The following is an 18,381-nucleotide window of genomic DNA, read 5'->3' as shown; positions in this document are numbered from 1 at the left end:
CCCAGGCCCCTGCCCTGGAGGTCTCCGTCTCCCAGCAGTTAGCAACAGCATGCTGGGGATGGGGGGCCAGGGGGTAATGTCTCTTGGGTGGAGTCAGTCTCACACTCCAGAAACAGCTGGTGAGGATGCTTTCACCACCCCCAAGGAGTATGCAGCAAATGCTAGCTAGGCATTTTGTTTGTATTGTTGTTATTACCCAACTGATAGATGATCATTTTTGACAACAGCAAATTAAAATATAAAAGCAAATAGAATTCAAAGTCTCAAACCCACCACTAACAAATATCCACTATTAACATTTTGGGACTTATAACCCTAATGTCTGTTTTTTCTACATTTTTACCTCTCCTAGTAGTAGTCACATCTAAAATATAGATGTCACATTTCTATCCGTCTAACTGTATATACTTGAAAAAAAAAAAGTAAAAACAAGATCAATTCTGCTTCTTTTACATAATTCTGGATAATTATTCCTTTTATTTATTTATTATTATTTTTTGAGATAGGGTCTTGTTTTGTTACCTAGGCTGGAGTGCTGTGGCATGAGCACAGCTCATTACAGCCTCAACCTCCCAGGTTCAAGGGATCCTCCCACCTCAGCCTCCAAAGCATCTCAGATTACAGGCACCTGCTACAATGCCCAACTATTTTTAAAAATTTTTCATAGAGGGTGGAGGGGTCTCACCATGTTGCCCACGCTGGTCTCAAACTCCTGGACTCAAGTGATCCTTCTGCCTCGGCCTCCCAAAGTGGTAGGATTACAGGCATGAACCACTATGCCCAGCCAATTATTTCTTATACTTCAACAAGATATTTCAGCTGGGTGCAGTGGCTCATGTCTGTAATCCCAGCACTTTGGGAGGCCAAGGCAGGCAGATTGCTTTAGGTCAGGAGTTCGAGACCAGCCTGGCCAACATGGTGAAACCCGTCTCTACTAAAAATATTAAAAAAAAAATTAGCCAGGGGTGGTGGCATGCACCTGTAGTCCCAGCTATTCAGGAGGCCGAGGCACAAGAATCACTTGAATCTGGGAGATTGGGTTGCAGTGAGCCAAGATTGCACTATTGCACTCCAGCCTGGGTGACAGAGCAAGACTCCATCTCAAAAAAGAAAAGAAAAAAGATATTTGGTAAATATTTACAGCAAATACATGTTGTAAAGCCTAACAGTATAATGAATGTCTATGAACCCACCGTGCGCCTGAGACCTAGAACATTTATGCACAATGTTTTGCACTTTTCTCCCACTTAATAAGATACTTTGGAACATTTTCTCTAATGGTATATTTAAAGTGCCTCACTTTTTAATACTTTGGTTTAAAAAATATCAAAGTAATATATGCAGCTAGGTTTAAAACTCAAATAGCATTGATAAGCTGATAATGAAAAAGAGCAGCTCCTGGCCCAGACTCGCCTCCTCCACTGTTTTTTTCTTTTCTTTGAGACAGTGTCTTGCTCTGTCACCCAGGCTGGAGTGCAGTGGTGCGATCTCAGCTCACTGCAACCTCCACCTCCTAGGTTCAAGCAATTCTCTTGCCTTGACCTCCCTGGTAGCTGGGATTACAGGGGTGCACTACCATGTCTGGCTAATTTTTGTATTTTTAGTAGAGATGGGGCCAGGCTGGTCTTCAACTCCTGGCCTCAAGTGATCTGCCCGCCTCAGCCTCCCAAAGTGCTGGGATTACAGGTGTGAGCCACCGCACCCAGCCCTCCTCTACTTCTCCTCACTGTCCAGAGGCAGTTACTTGTTTCTGCAGATAGTTCCTCCCATATTTCTAGAAAATCTGCATGGACTCCTATTTTGCAATTGAGCCATTTTAGGTATTATCTATTGACCTCCTGTTATGACAGAACTCTTCCATTCTCTCTGCCCCTTCCCCACAAGTAGTTATCAGTAATTGGGGTTGATGTCATAACATTCCCTGTGGAGCCAAATAGAGGACTATGATTTCATTTCCTTGCTTGTATAACTTTGTTCTTTCTATAGTTAAGTGTCTCATTATGTCTCGCATCCATGACTGTTTAAATCCATAAGGCTTCTAGCTTTCCCAATTGCTCCAATGGGTCTGCCCTGGTCCCTTTAGCATCCTGACCCCATCTAGGTGCACCTCTCACTAGGCCTGGGCAAAGCTGTCACCCTGGAGCAGTGGTTCTCAAGTGAGGGTGAATTTGCCTTAAAGGGGACATTTGGCAATGTCTGGGGACATTTTTGGTTGGTACGACTGGGGAGGGGTGCTACTGGCATCTAGCAGGTAGAGAGGCTGGCGATGTTGCTAAAAATCCTACAACGCACAGGACAGCCCCCCCAACAATGGTGCCCAGTTCAAGAGGTCAATAGAGCCAAGGGAAAGAAATCCTGCTCTGGAACTTCTAATCATCCCTTTGAGGACAAAACCACCATCCTAATCTGTTTTTTAAAAGAGATTTATTGAAGTATAATTCACATTCCATAACATTCAATTATTTAAAGTACACAATGTAATGGTTTTTGGTAGAGTCACATAGTTGCCTGACCATGATCACAGTCAATTTTAGAACACTGTTATCCCCCCTGCAAAAAAAAGCACCTTATGGCTGGGTACAGTGGCTCACACCTGTAATCCTAGCACTTCTGGGAGGCCCAGGTGGGTGGATCATGAGGTCAGGAGTTCAAGACTAGCCTAGCCAACACGGTGAAACCCTGTCTCTACTAAAAATACAAAAATTAGCCAGGCGTGGTGGTGCATGCCTGTAATCCCAGCTACTCCAGAGGCTGAGGCAGAAGAATCACTTGAATCCAGGAGGCAGAGGTGCAGTGAGCCAAGATTGCACCACTGCACTCCAGCCTGGGAGACAGAGCAAGACTCTGTCTCAAAAAAAAAAAAAAAAAAAAAAAAAAAAAAGCAAGCAGCCCCTTACTTGGCCGGATGTATGGCTCATACCTGTAATCCTAGCACTTTGGGAGGCCGAGACAGGAGGATTGCTTGAGCCCAGGAATGCAAGATTGGCCTGGGCAACATGACGAAACCCCATCTCTACTAAAAATCAAAAAAATTAGCTGGGCATGGTGGCACAGGCCTGGTGGTCTTAGCTACCTGGGAGGCTGAGGCAGGAGGAATGCTTAAACCTAGGAGGTCAAGGCTGCAGTGAGCCATGATCACCCCACTGCTCTCCAGCCTGGGTGACAGAGCAATACTCTGTCTCAAAAAAGAAAAAAAAGCCCTATACTCATTAGCAGTTGCTTCCTATGTCCCCACACAACATCCTAGCCCTAGGAAACCACGAATCTACTTTCTGCCCCTATAGATTCACCTATTCTGGGCATTTCACTAGGCATAATGCTTTTGAGGTTCATCTACGCCACACCAAGTGTCAGCACTTCATTCCTTTTTATCGCCAAACACTATTCCATCGTACAGACAGACTACATTTTGTTAATGCATTCATCAGCTGACAGAGCCCCTTGACCTTCTCACCAGCTGCGTAGCAGCCCCATCTATGGCTGTACTGAATTGATTTACCCCGCCTGCTCTGGGAGGCGTCTGAGTTGTTTCCAGCATTTCATTATTACAAATAGGTGAGCAGGACCTTTTACAGTACGGAAGTCCATGCTCTGCCTACACAGAGGTAGGGAAGTGCGGTTCTTGTGTTTATTTTTCCTTGATGAAAACAGAATTCTCCCCTAACCACCCTGTCTATCTACTGAGTGGCCCTGGGGGTGTCACTTACTCCTCATCAGTCTGCACGCAGTCATCGAGTTCGATCACATGGCTCCCAATGAACCAGACCAAATTGGAGAAGTAAGGAACAGCAGTTTTATCTCGGATGTAGTGCAGCATGGCCTGGTTATCCACTGAGAAAATTCACAGAAGAAAAAAAAAGTCAAGCTACCAAAAATAACTTGGGGAAGATTAAAAAAAAAACAAAAACAAAGCAAAACCCAAAAACCACAATGAAAAAGCCCTCTGCTATAATCTGAAATTGTCTGTCTTTCCTGGAAATACTTAAAAATGTTTATCTTATTCATAAAACTATAGTCATCAAGGCAGTTCTTATGATATTTTATACTTAAAAATAAATTAGTTGGGCTAAACATTAATGGTGCATGGGAGAGCCTACTTATCAGTAGCAGACTGAGCTAGACTACACTGAGAATTACACCATTCTCAAGCAAGGTATTTACATATAAGGGTAGATTAAGAAAGCAGAAAACCAGAGGTTAATAACTTACATGACACTGGAATAAGGAACACAGGAATCGTCATTGAAGGAAAAGCAAAAAACAGACAACAGTTAACAGGGTTAGGACCTGGGAAGGTGAGAGAGCTGCTCAGAGGGAGAGAGACTAGGGTGGGAGGCATCTGCACAGAGAGATAAGGTTAGAAGGAGACAGGAGAAAACAGAGCAGGAGGCAGCAGAACCAACTGTGGCTTGGACCAGGGTCACAATCTTACAAGCCTGCCACGTTGGCTAGTTGCCAGAGGTCCAGCGTGTGACCTGGGAGCACGGGCCTTGACCCCAAAGGGGCAGCTGCTTCTGTGCCAGCTGACCCCCCCAACTGCAGGACTGTGGGCCTTGACTAGCCAAATCTACATCTTCAAGGTGCAAATCCAGATTATCATGGAAGATCTCCCAATTTTTAAATACTGGCAACTACACATTTTTTCAAAAACTAAGCCAGTTAAAACATGTCTGATGGCTGGATATGGCCCACAGGTCCTCAGTTTGCGACCCCTGGGTGGGTCCAGTTGGGCTCTTAGAAAGGTTCTTAAATTTAATGTAAGCCCAGTGCTAGGCTGGAGTGAGTCCCTGAGAAGCCCCCACCCTCATTAGGGAGTAATAACATTTTGGCTCATGAAAGTCAAAGCCCTTTCATCCCTGAGAAAATAGTCCCATCTCCACTGTGGTGACTCCGGGGAAAATAACCCAGGAATTAGGCAGAGAACTTCCAAGCATCGCCTTGGAAGGGCAATTCCAGTTCAGGAAACTTGTGGCCAGGCAGCCTTTGTGTCAGTGCAGCGGAGAGTGGGGGAATGGCTTTTTCCCTGGGGCAATGTTTTGGGCATTAAGAACATCTTGAGGGAAAGGAGGAATTGTTAGTGCTGGGCTTTGCAGCCTGTTGGGAATACAACATTGCCCCCTGCTGTTCACAATGTGACATGCTTTTATATATTACTTAAAAGTCAAATTACCCCTTAGCTGTATTAAAGTATATTTCACAAGCCAAGACACAAAAATTTAAATGACACATTAAAAAGACAACTTTGCTTTCTCAAATTCTAAAACATAGCCACTCTGAATCCCACACGTGCCTCTCAGGACATCCTACTTCTATGTAGCAGCATGAGCAAGACTTCGACATGCCTGGAGAAGGCAAGGATTTCCATGAGCGGCCAGCTAAATGCTAGGGGATTCCAAGTTTTTCATGAGAGAAGCTGCCACGGCTCATCATCAATGTGCTCCCTCGTGACAATCGGAGAACTGTACGCACACACACGGGAGTGAGTGCTTGCTGCCAAGTCAGAAATCAGCCGAGACACAAGCCCATGAGGACACTTACCTTTATAGACATTCAAAGTTATGGTTCTTACAGCAATTCTAACCATGCTTTCAGGGTGGTTGAAAAACTTGATGGCTTCTGTGTACAGGGCAAAGTCATTGGTGTGCTAAAACAAAAGAAATAACGAAAACAAATTATAAGCCCATAAGCCAGGCCTGGCCCCACCCCAACTCTCTGAATTCCATCAGAGACTTCAGAAAAAGACAAAAAAAAAAAAAAAAATGTTGCCAATGTGAACCGTAAGTCAGTGGTTCATTCCCAATGGGGCATGTAGAAAGGGACAGGAAGGCAAAGCCATGGAAGAAACAGAAGAGTCCAAGTCCGTGTGGTGGTGCACACCCATAGTACCAGCTACTTGGGAGAGGCTGAGGTGGGAGGTTGGCTTGAGCCCAGGAGTTGGAGGCTGCAGTGAGATGTGATCGTGCCACTGCACGCCAGGCTGGGCAACAGAGCAAGACCCTGTCTCAAAACAAGAAAAAAGAAAAAAGAGCAGTAGTAGTGGTAGTAGTAGTAATCACTGATTGATTGGCTGGGAGTGGTGGCTCATGCCCAGAATCCCAGCACTTTGGGAGGCCAAGGAGGGGGGATTGCTTGAGGTCAGGAGTTTTGAGACCAGCCTGGGCAATGTGACGAGACCTCATCTCTACTTTGAAAATTATAATTAAAAAGAAAATGAGTCCAGATAATGTCAGACCTGGGTTCATTACCCATTCTACCACTTCTAACCTGTGCAATGCAGTATTTCTAAACCTCTGTTTCTACATCTATAACATGGGGATAATAACATCTACTTTATGGTTTCCAGATTAAATGAGATCATTTCTGGTCTTGTGCTTATCCCAGCACCTGACACCTAAGAAGTACTCAGTGGGATGCAGGGAAACATGAGGGGAAGGCTGGTGAGAACCTTCTGAGAAAGTTTTCTTTGGAAGTTAAAAAGGGACACAAGAAGGGAAGTGATCTCATCAGGCATTTTGGCAGTGGCAGCCAACCTGTGACCATGAGGGGTTGAACCTGAGGATGGATGCCAGCTGTATAGTCAGCAGAGCAGCAAGATGGGAAAGCCTGGGTCCTCGCTGATACTGTTGAACCACAGGATGAACCAGCCCCAGCACGACCAGTGCCTGGACCTTTTGGTGTGGGTGATACATTGACCCTATTGTTCAAACCCCTTTTAGGTGTGAGGACAGGAGCAATTTATTTATTTAAGTTGTTCATTTTAATAATTCTCCCAAAGAATGTCAGGGACATTATCTTATCAACAATAGCAACGTCTATGCTTTTAGGGAGCTATGTACATACTGGCACTTTGAAGACATCATCTCATTTAATTTAACCCCTAATAACCCTACAAGATGTATATTCTTATCCCCATTTCTCAGATGAGGAAACTGAGGTTCAGAAAGGGACTGGGACTTCCTTAAGGTGACACAGCAGGGAAGTGACAAAACCAGCCCTGACTGGAGTTCCTGTTTTTCCCACAGGGCAACACTTCCCCAAGACAACATCTGGGCATGTCTCCTCTCTACCAAGTATAAAGCTCTCAGAACAAACTGAATTTTACATTAACAATGGAAAGGCTGGCCAGGTGCTGTGGCTCATGCCTGTAATCCTAACACTTTGGGAGGCCAAGGTAGGAGGATCGCTTGTGCCCCGGAAGTTCAAGGCCAACCTGGGAAACATAGTAAGACCCTGTCTCTACAAAGAATTACATTTTTTTAATAGAAAGGTAACTTATTTAATTAAAAAAATTTTTTAAACATGCCAAAGTCAAAAGTGTTGCCATGAAAATCATAACAAGCATATAAGAGCTTTGTAAACAGACACAAGACCATCCAGATATAAGGCGCTGCCGTAAAAAAAAAAAAAAAAAGCCACGTGTGGCTTTACACCCACACGTGCCCCTCTGGCAATTACTTACCTCATTATAAAAGAAATGGACAGTGTGGTTGTTGAGTTTTAACGAAAGTGTTTTCAGGAACGATATATAATAGGCCATAATCTCCTCATCAGAAAAGTCAAATTTATGAACGATGATAGAATTTACGTAGTTATTTGAGAGCAAATAATCTAGAGGGAGAAAAAAACAAAACAGGTTAACTCATGCTGGAGGAAAGATAAGCCAGGTAACAAGCAGATGACCACGTTAATGTACTTGAATCAGGTAAGCCTCTGGGTTGCTGGGATTAAACACACTAACTGGGAAGAGCTTAACTTTTAACCAGCAAAGAGATCATCTTCAATGTACAGTCACCAGGAAGTTCAAAGGCATCACCAGAGAACAGCCCTTCCCCGCCCTCCCACACCAAATAAAAAAAAGACACTCCAACATTTTCTTTTCATTGATGGCAAAGTGCAACAAAGAGCTGGGAGTAGGGGGAGATTAGCTGGTGTGTGGGCATTTTCACAAACCACCCATGAATGAGGGTAAAAAGCTGCCCCCTTCTGCCATCACAAATCACATCATCAACTCTGAAGGCCACAGTAGGGTTTTTTTCCTCCTTATATAGCAACATGATTGCATAAAGGTCCCTTCCTGCTGAATCCCTACTACATGCCGGCCACTAGGCTGAGTGCTTTACATGACCATTAACCATCACATGATCCTGCTCATTCTTCCCATTTTGCAGATGAGCAAAAACATCTCGGAGATGTTAACTTACCCGTGCACAGAGACAGTCACAGAGAAGGGATTCAAACTTAGGTCTGATGTCAGAGTTTGTCATGCATTATGGGGGCCCAACAATGAAAACTGGGTGATGAGGGCCCAAGGGCACTGGGGTCAACTGAAGAGCAACCCCATTCCCCAGCTCCCAGCGCCTGGCCCTGCAGAAATGCAGGCCAGTATGGTGAGGGCTTTCAACAGTGAAGAGAGGCAAAACCAGATTCCAACACTGCATCTCCTGATCCTGACATGTTTGCCACTGAAATCAACTAGCTTTTAAAGCTGTGCTGGCCGGCAAAAACATGTCTACTAGCCAGCTGCAGCCTATGGCCTGCAGTTTGATATCTCAGTGTTGGGCCCTTGCCAGGCATATTTCCCTCTGTGTTCTTACCAGCCACCCTGCAAGGCAGGCACTGCTGTCCCATCGCCTGTCCTTTGGAATGTTGTGTGAGTGCTGCACCAGCTCACCTGCCCGGCCCCCAGGACAGCTAAAGGCAGAACACGATTCACACCTGCTGGGGGCATGGTTTGGAGCCTCGCTACTCAGAGTCTTGTCCTCAGATGGGGAGCACAGCAACCCCGGAGCTTGTCAGACCTGTAGGATCTTGGGCCCCGGCCCTGCGCCACGGAGTCAGAATCTCCAGGGGTGGGCCCAGCACTCTGCATGTGAGAAGTGTGCAGGGCTCCCCATGCGTGCTAGTGTTTGGGAAGCTCTGGGTTTAATCGTGGACTTGGACTGGCCTGCTTGTGTCCACATCTCGCCCCTGCCACTTCCTAGCTGTGCTGTGACCTTGGGCAAACTGCTGACCCTCCCCACGCCCCAGTTTCATGAAGCCAAAACTTCCTCATGAAGTAGTGGTAAGAGTTAATGGAGAAAATGCACAGAAAGCACTCAGGACAGTAGTAGTAGTCACTGATTCACTGGCTGTGTGAATGGACAGCATGGGCCGCAATGCAAGCACTCGATAATGTTAACTGCCATTCTTCTTATTATTATTACTATTATTCGGAGATTCAAAATCTCAGCTTTAGCCAGGTGTGATGGTGTGCACCTGTGGTCCCAGCTTGAGGCCAGGAGTTCAAGGCTGCAGTGAGCCATGATCGTATCACTGGAGACTAGCCTAGGCGACAGGGTGAGACCTGTCTCTAAAAACAAAACAAACAAAGAAAATCTCTACCATATTCCAGGACTGAAAACAGTTGCTCTTGGGTGAAGAGGAAATAAACCATTAAGTTATTTGGAGCCGTCGAGGTACCTAACTGAGGTCGATCAAAGTCAAACTCAACAGTCTGTTGGGAATCATCAAAAACACCACAAAGAGGAATCTGGGAGCCCGGGATCGTGATGGAAGCCACAGTGTGGGCCTGTGGCGTGGTCCTCCTTGGAAGTCAGTTCTCCGGGAAAGCCACTGCATTCAGAAAAGCCACTGTGCACTCTGAGCAGGCATGGCAGACAGGCTGTGCGGTTTGTAGTCTTAGAAGAGCAGTTTTCAAAATCGCCTGCTCATAACACTACTGAGGCAGTGCTTGGGGATCCCTCCAAGCAAGGAGTCAATGGGTCTAAGGCAGAATCTTAGGAATCTTAATGTTTTTAAAGATGGGGTTATGTATATCACAAATCCTAAGTGGACAGCTTGACATATGTGGAAATATACACACACATATATGTATGATATGGTTTGGCTATGTCCCCAACTAAGTCTCATCTTGAATTGTAGTTCCCATAATCCCCACGTGTTGTGGGAGGGATCAGGTGGAGATAATTGAATCATGGGGGTGGTTTCCCCCATCCTGTTCTCGTGATAGTGAGTTCTCACGAGATGTGATGGTTTTGTAAGGGGCTTCCCCCTTTGCTGAGCACTCATTCTTCTCCTTGCTGTTGCCATGTGAAGAAGGATGTGTTTGCTTCACCTTCTGCCATGATTGTAAGTTTCCTGAGGCCTCCCCAGCAGTGCTGAGCTGTAAGTCAATGAAACCTCTTTCCCTTATAAAGTACCCAGCCTCGGGTATATCTACGTATAAAACACATAGATACATAACCCTAAGTGCCCAGCATGATGAATTTTTACATATACACACGGTGTAAGCACCATCCAGATCCCAAATCTGACATTCCCAGCTCTCCAGAAGACTTCCTCATGCCCCTGCCCAGTCAGTACCCGCTACCCCAATGCAACCCTTATTCTGCTTCTAGCACATCAGACTCGTTTTGCCTGTCCATGAACCTTATCTAATGGAAGCAGACAGTACGCACACTTCCTATGTCTGGCCTCTTTCGCTTATTACCACATCTGAGGGCTTTCCAGGTTGCTGTGTATGCAATGGTAGTAGTTCATTCCTTCTTTCCTTTTCCTTTTTCTTTTCTTTTTTGCTATATAGTAGTACATTCTCTGAATAGTCCACAGTTTATTTATCCACCTGGAGTCTAACATGGGTATCGTGTCACCCAGGTGATTCTGATACCCAGAGCACTTCTTTTTCTTTCTGTGTCATTCTGGCTCTTGCTGGGGGAGAAGTAGGGAGGGGTAATGGGCTGGCAGGATAAGGAGCTGTTGGGGTGTCTTACTGAGCCCTGCTGTGACTGGCTAGTGGCTTCCAGACCACCAGCAGCACAGACACCATACTGGGAGCTTCAGATGTGCAACTGTGAGTCTCTCAGCTGTACCCTGGAGCTGGAACAGCGACAGGCTCCCTCCACTCCCCAGCAGGGACTTTTCCAGGGCCTCCAAGAGATGACTCTGTGGGTGGTGGGGGGCCACCATAGGACAGTTGGAGGTGCCTCTATTATCAGGCTGGGATTTTTCTACTACCCCCTCACTGTGTGGCTGACTTTCTGTGGTATCCTTTTCTAATAAACCCGGGAGCCTGTACGTAATCTCAGTCTCTCGGGACTCTGTCACTTAGGTCACTAACCCCAACAGGCAACAGGTGCATTTGTGAAATGGTAGCTTGTAATAGTGAAAAGCTGGAAACCACCTAAATGCCCGTGGTCAGGTTAAATAGATTATAGCACAACAAGCTGCCACTCCTAAACCAAACCAGGCAGGGTTACAGAACGGGACAATGAGATCTAGGATACACTGGGAAGGTGGGAAAAAGAAAAGCAAACAGCAGAATGGCTGGTGCACAATGGATCGTTAGGGTTGAATTCTGCAGAAACTTGACTTTACATTTTTCTAACATTTGGCTTTTCGTTATTTAACAATGAGGACATTTTTTCTTCTGTGATTAGAAAACAAAAATAAAAGCAAAGGTCTTCTATCCTCCTCACCCCTTACAAATCCAAGTTCTGTAAACGTGCAATGATTTCTACCCTTTTTGCAGGGCTTATAAAAGCACTGTGGTGAAGGGGCTATAAAGCCAGGGGCATCTGCCTGGGTTTCCCACAGCAGGGCACCCTTTTCGGTGCCAGGACAAGAAAAGCCACGCATACTGCATGATCTCAATTACAGGGAGAATCTAAGACAGTCAAATTCATAGAAGCAGAGAGTCAAAGGGTGGTTACCAGGGACTGGGGAGGAGGGAAATGGGGAGACGCTGATCAAAGGGTACGACGCACGATGAGTAAGTTCCGGAGCTCTCATGTACAGCACAGTGACTACAGGTCATCCTACTGTGTTACAGACTTGAAATCTGCTAACAGATCTACTGCATATTTTCATCACCCAAGGTGCACACACAACCCCCACCCACACACACGCACAAAAGTGAGGTGATGGATATGTTAATTCACTTGATTGCCGTGATTATTTCACAATGTACACATTTTTTTGTGTATATGTATATATTAAATCAAGTTGTACACATTAAATATATACAATTTTTAAAAGCCACATAATTCAGAGAAACACTCTAAAAGCCGTAAGTTTTGATCGCCCCACCCCCATCTCAATCCAGTCACCCCGTGCCTAGCTGGACTTTGAGAGGCTTCCCAGGGCAGGGACACTGAGGGTGATGTTGCCTTAAAGGATAAAACCGACACCATGGCCATGTCCTATCTGCCAGACCCTGTGCCTCGCTCTGAACACCTGCTCTCACGCTCACGCCCAGCCACTCTATGCTGCAGCCACTGTGCTCTCCTCTTGACAGATGCACAAACAGCAGCTCGGAGCCTTCACTGTCCAGGCACGTGCAGGGAGCCAGTGTGGGGCAGAACTGGGCCTGGGACCTGGTTCAGTCTGAGTCAAGGGCCTGTGCCACTGAGCTGGATCTTCCCCTCAGAGCTTTTAGAAACCGCAGTCATTTCACATCCAGTGAAACAGGCGCTGGTAACAAGGGAAACCATTTAGGGAGACAGGAGTCGGCCCACATTTGTCAACTTGCGGTCACCGGGAAGCATAAGGCGTCTCTGAGGCAGCAGCACCACCTAGCGGCGGCTGCGAGAGCCATCACTCAGCAGCCCTTTCACCTCTCCCTCTTGGCCAGAGGAATGCCACCATCTCTACCTCTTTCTGCCCACTGCAGACTTTTTTCAGACCTGTCCTGGGGACTTAGAGCCTGCCTCTGATATAGACATTTGGCCACTTGTCCCCCACTTCTGGCGGGCAGGGCCCGGGCTTGGTGAAGTCACCTTGGAATAACAAAGCTAGCAGTCTAGCGTGGAGGATTAGGAACCAAACCAGGGTTTCTCAGCCTCGGCACTGGGGACAATTTGGGCTGGGTAATTCCCTGTTGTGGGGGGCCTGTCCTTAGCAGCACCCCTACCCTCTACCCACTAGATGTCAGCAGCACCCCCAAGAATGTTTTTAGATGATGCCAAATGTCCCCTCACTGAAGACCACTGAGCTAATCGCCTGGGATGAAACCCCTTCTCTATTCTGGCTTTGCTAGAGCTGGCGCCTGGGTGTTAAAATGAAAGCACTGATGGCACCTGCCTCTCAGGGGTGGTTATTACGGATGACGAAACTGAGGCTTAGTGAGGGCAGGTAAGAAGTTCGGAGTCACACACTCACTAGCTGGGTGGAGGGACTGAAGCAGGAGGGTTGGTACCAATGCACACACCCTTGCCTGCCCTCTGGCAGAGATCTTCCTTGTCTTACTTCTTCCAGTGCTTATTCCATTGGCTGATGATTCAGCGACCCCAACTCTTTAATAGCAAGTCATAAAGAAGAACTGCAAACACCCCCAGCATCATCAGCAGAGGGGAACCCTCTGATAGTACCCACCACACAGAAACAAACACAGGCTTAGGGACTGAACTATGTCTCCCTCAGGTTCCTACATTGAAGCTCTAACCCCCATTGTGGCTGTATTTGAAGACAGGGCCTTTGGCGAGGTAATTAAGGTTAATGAGGTCATAAGGGTGGGGGTTCTCATCCAATAGGACTGGCGTCCCCATAGAAGGAGGAAGAGACACCAGCTAGCACTCTCTCAATTTCTCTCCACTCACACACAGATGAAAGGCCATGCACAGCAAGAGGGTGGCCGTCTGCAAGCCAGGAAGAGAGCCCTCACTAGAAACCAACCCTGCTGGCAACTTGATCTTGAACTTTTTTTTTTGTTGTTGTTGGAGACAAGGTCTTGCTCTGTCACCCAGGCTGGAGTGCAGTGGCACAATCACGGCTCACTGCAACCTCGACTTCCTTGACAAACAATCTTCCTGCCTCAGCCTCCTGAGTAGCTGGGACTACATGTGCACACCACCACACCCAGCTAATTTTTGTGGTTTTTTGTAGAGACGGGGTTTCACCTTGTTGTCCAGGCTGTTCTCAAACTCCTGAGCTCAAGTGATCTGCCCACCTTGGCCTCCTAAGTGCTGGGGTTACAGGGATGAGATACCATGCCTGGCCAATCTTGGACTTCAATGCTCCAGAACAGTGAGAAAACAAATCTCTATTGTTTAACCCACTCAGTCTATGGTATTTTGTTAGGATAGCCTGAGCCGACGAATAGTAAGCGCAGACACAGAAAACCACGCCCAACTTCACCCTGCTACATGCACAGCAGCACAGAGGCAAATACCAAGGAATGTCCTTACAAAGTGAGGTCTCGTGACTGATGTTCTCAAAGAGGATGTTCAAGGTCTGCAGCAGCTGAACGCACACGTAACGGCCCGACTTTTGCCGCAAGATGTTCAAGAAGAAAACAAACATATTCTTCTCCAGGAAGAAGCTGGGGAGAGAATGGAAAAGCATCAGTGGCTTGCTTCCACATGTGGAAACAGAAATTATTATCTGGTTTCATTCACAACACAAGTATTAGATTCACCCCTCTCCCCCAAGGTATCTGCACAGGTCATGCCACCCATTGTCACCCGCCACAACTGGAATTCCCAGCAAAGGAATAAGATATAATTATGAGTATTAAATGAGTTTTAGATCTGGGCACAGTGGCTCATGCCTGCAATCCCAGTACTTTGGGAGGCTGAGGCAGGATGATCGCTTGAGGCCAGTTCAAGACCCAGCCTGGGCAAAATAACAAGACCCCTACCTCTACAGAGAAGAAAAAAAAAATTAGGCGGTGGTGCATGCCTGAAGTGCCAGCTACTCAGGAGGCTAAGGTGGGAGGACCGCTTGAGCCCAGGAGTTCAAGGCTGCAGTGAGATATGATCAGGCCACTGCACTCCAGCCTGGGTGACAGAGCCAAAAAAAAAAAAAAGAAAAAAAAGAAAAAAAAGTTCCCAAAAAGCTTTAGCCCTACGGTTTTCTTCCCCTTAACTGCCAGTTTAATCATGAGAAAAGTGAGACAAACCCATTTTGGGGGACATTCCACAGAAGACCTGGCCAGCATTTCTCAAAACTTTCAGGGTCGTAAAAACAACAGAAGACTAAAAAAGAGTCACGGAACAGAGGAGGCTGGGGAGATATGACAACCAAATGTACTGTGGCTCCCAAATTGTCAAGTTCTAGGGGAAAATAACTAGAAAGAAATACACAGGTACTGATGTGGTGGAGAAACCCTACTAACCCATCCCCAGGTCTGTTTCTGCCTTTCTCCTTGTGGATAGGATACTTGTCTGTACACAGCCTAGCGGCACTGGCTTCTGGGGGTACACGTTGGCTCTTTCAGTCTTGAAAAGGAAACAGACCATCCAGTGCCTTTCTCTAAAGGAAGAGAATGACGTTTCTAGTTATGTGTTCTCTGTACTCAAGCTAACACCAGATAATCTTGCATCTGGGACACTTGGAAGAAATGAGGTGTGCCTGCGGGCTGACTCAGTTGTGGGTGCCTCTCTGTCCTCGTCTGGCATCTCCACAGTGGTGAGGTCATGGGCCTGGAACTTACTCAGTGCTGCCTGATTCTGTCTGAATCCATGAACGGATAAATGAAAAAATTTAAATGGCCTAAAAAAGACCCTTACAATCTTCTCCAACTCGGAGGCCCATCTGCCTGTAAATGCCATTCATGTTGACCTCCAGAGTATTTCTGTCATTTGGCCTATTTTTGTCTACCTTCAGTTCAAGCTGCATAAATCAGTGACTCCTAAGGGCCACCAGCAAACTCACTGCCGCACTGTGACCAACTTGGGAACTTGTTAAAATGCCTGTACCTAGATCTTGCCCCGGGGATTGACAGGGTAGGTCTAGCATAAAATCCATGAACCTAGATTTTTTAAAACTCCATAGGGGAGTGGGCAATTCATTGGGAAAAAAGGGTGATTGTAGGACTGGAGCATTTTACAGTACCAGGAAGTAAGAAGTGCTCAAAAAACAAAAGGAAGAGAGCATATCGAGGGGATACAAGAACCAGCCTGAAAGAGCTCCTAATAGCCAAGGCTGAAACAACTTGAGCAATAAAATAACAACATACTGAATTATAGCCCAAAGTATAAATAAATATCCACGAGTCCATATTAATATAAGCAAATGACTGCATAAATGAGAGAGAAGAGATGAATCTTCCATGCAGAAGAATTTCAAATAATACATGTAGATACTGCCCCCTTCTAGAAGGTAGACCTTAACCCCCACCCCCTCATCATGAAAACGTGGGGTAGACTTGGTGACTCTCTTCTAAAGAACAGTGTGGGGAAAGGAGAAGACAGTAGCTTTATAGTAGAGAAACCTGGCAGACAGCACCTTAACCAGGTGATAAAGGTAACATCACCAGGATGTCATGTGGATATTGTGAATGCCTTGTGATGATGGCAAGAGAGGGGAACTTTACTCCTATAGCTTTCTTCCCCTTAACTGCCAGTTTAATCATGAGAAAAACATGAGACAAACCCAGATTGGGAGACATTCCACAGGAGACCTGGCTAGCATTTCTCAAAACTTTCAGGGTGGCAAAAACAATGGAAGACTAAAAAAGAGTCACAGATCAGAGGCTGGGGATATACGACAACAAAATGTACTATGGGAACATGGATGGGATGCTAGGACAGAAAGGAGATATTAATGAAAAACTGGCAAAATCCAAATGAGGGCTGAAGTTGACTCAACAATACTGTACCAATGTCAGTTTCTTAGTTTTGCCCAATTCACCCCAGTAATGTAAGACACTTACAATGGGAACATTCTATACTATCTTCGAAACTATTTTATAAATCTAAAATTATTCCAAAATTTTAAAATGTAGTAAAAACAAAATTTTCTTAGGGACTTTGTTGGATAACTGTTTAAGAATCATGGAGACCCTAAGAGCTCAGCAGCTTTTCTAAGATGACAGATGGACAGGGTGTCATCTTGGGACCTAGAATGACACGTCCGTTCTAGGCAGGGTGCAGTAGCTCATGCCTGTAATCCCAGCATGTTGGGAGGCTGAGGAGGAAGAATCGTTTGAGCTCAGGAGTTTGAGACCAGCCCTGGCAACACAGCAAGACCCTGTCTCTAAAAAAAAAAATAAGTCCATTCTAGTCAAGGGGGACACAGTTTCTCATCTTTAACCCAAGGGTCTTTTTGATTTCCAAAAAGATATTTAAAAAAAAAAAATTCCAGCTGGGCACGGTGGCTCATGCCTGTAATCCCAGCACTTAGGGAACCTGAGGCTGGTGGATCACCTGAGGTCAGGAGTTTGAGACCAGCCTGGCCAACATGGCGAAACACCATCTCTACTAAAAATACAAAAATTAGCCCCACGTGGTGGTGCATGCCTGTAATCCCAACTACTCCAGAGGCTGAGGTAGGAGAATTGCTTGAAACTGGGAGGCAGAGGTTGCGGTGAGCCGGGATCCCGCCAATGCACTCCAGCCTGGATGACAGAGCAAGACTCCATCTCACAAAACAAAAAAAACAAAATTCCCCATGGATCCTTAAAGGAACTAGGTCTGTATATAAACACAAATTCATGACTCGCATGTTCTGCTTTGGAGATCATAGCCACTGTTTACAGGTTTGCATTTTAAAGAGTCTGCATTTCCACAAGTAGCTTTATTGGATAACCTTGCTGATGAAAATATAAAGCTACCCTGAACCTATATTCAGGAACTTGCTCAGTGCTGCCTAATTCTGTCTGAATCCATGAAAAGGTAATATCCTTCTTATTCGGATATCTAATAAGAAACCAGGTTAAAAATAGAACACTTTTACTTTTCAAAAATGAGTTTTAAAAGTGGCCTCAATATTTATAATACAGACACACACACACACACACACACACACACACACACACACCCGTGTTTAGTGGTTGTCATAACCCAGCCCCAAATCCTTCTGCACTAAGACATCAAGGCAGATCTATTAGGGAGGTAGTTCACAGTTAACAGCCCTTGCTATTTTTTTTTTGAGACATGGTCTCACTCTGTCACCCAGGCTGGAGTGCAGTGGCAAGATCATGGCTCATTGCAGCCTGGACCTCCTGGGCTCAGGCAATCCTCCCACCTCAACCTTCTGAGTAGCTGGGAACACAGGCACACACAACCATGCATGACTAATTTTTTAATTATACGTAGAGACGAGGTCTCTGTATGTTGCCCAGGCTGGTCTCAAACTCCTGGGCTCAAGCGATCCTCCTGCCTCAGCCTCCCAAAGTGCTGGGATTACAGGTGTGAGCCACCGCGCCTGGCGGCCCTTGCTTTTTAACTGTCCAGTGAGGCACGTCTGTCTTTATCATTTGCTATCATTTATTCCTGTACCAGGCACTAGACAAAGAGAACTTTTTCTCTCTCTTTTAAAGGTAAAGAAACTGAGGCTTAGGGAGATGAAGAGCCTGGCTGAGGACTGCTCACCTAGGAAGTGGTGAGTTGCGGGACCCCTCACTGATTCTGGGTGTGTCACTTTTCCACCGCTTACCAGCTATGT

At 46.0% G+C, this 18,381-nt stretch overlaps 1 protein-coding gene across 38 annotated transcripts in view, besides 3 other annotated features; it reads right to left on the bottom strand.

Annotated features, from left to right (window-relative positions):
• Window positions 1-18,381, bottom strand: part of CLEC16A (C-type lectin domain containing 16A) — a 237,623-nt gene that overhangs the window by 205,418 nt on the left and 13,824 nt on the right. For 20 of the 38 annotated variants that reach the window (NM_001410905.1, XM_047433848.1, XM_047433847.1 and 17 more), the window contains exons 3-6: window positions 14,181-14,314; window positions 7,460-7,608; window positions 5,539-5,644; window positions 3,708-3,831 (exon numbers count right to left, since the gene is read on the bottom strand). In NM_001410905.1, coding sequence (NP_001397834.1) covers window positions 3,708-3,831; window positions 5,539-5,644; window positions 7,460-7,608; window positions 14,181-14,314 — 513 coding nt within the window. Of the gene's footprint in view, window positions 1-3,707; window positions 3,832-4,209; window positions 4,216-5,538; window positions 5,645-7,459; window positions 7,609-14,180; window positions 14,315-18,381 lie in introns of all 38 variants that reach the window. The other 18 variants (NM_015226.3, XM_005255214.3, XM_011522434.3 and 15 more) reach the window with 1 other exon arrangement.
• Window positions 4,442-4,619: a silencer, noted in NCBI's record as "fragment chr16:11066007-11066184 (GRCh37/hg19 assembly coordinates)". NCBI's record gives its function as "represses an EF-1alpha promoter that drives an FKBP-Casp9 reporter gene in an ReSE screen in phorbol 12-myristate 13-acetate-treated (for megakaryocytic differentiation) K562 erythroleukemia cells {active_cell/tissue: K562(+PMA)}" and the evidence as "EXISTENCE:reporter gene assay evidence [ECO:0000049][PMID:32094911]".
• Window positions 4,943-5,237: a silencer, noted in NCBI's record as "tiled region #12638; K562 Repressive DNase matched - State 5:Enh". NCBI's record gives its function as "represses a minimal TATA promoter and a strong SV40 promoter by Sharpr-MPRA in K562 cells {active_cell/tissue: K562}" and the evidence as "EXISTENCE:reporter gene assay evidence [ECO:0000049][PMID:27701403]".
• Window positions 11,173-11,252: an enhancer, noted in NCBI's record as "active region_10406". NCBI's record gives its function as "activates an Ori minimal core promoter by ATAC-STARR-seq in GM12878 lymphoblastoid cells {active_cell/tissue: GM12878}" and the evidence as "EXISTENCE:reporter gene assay evidence [ECO:0000049][PMID:35858748]".

The sequence above is a fragment of the Homo sapiens genome, chromosome 16 (genome assembly GCF_000001405.40).
Source record: "Homo sapiens chromosome 16, GRCh38.p14 Primary Assembly".
Taxonomy (NCBI): domain Eukaryota; kingdom Metazoa; phylum Chordata; class Mammalia; order Primates; family Hominidae; genus Homo; species Homo sapiens.
Note: the sequence above shows the minus strand (reverse complement) of the source record. Positions and strands in the feature narration are given on the sequence as shown.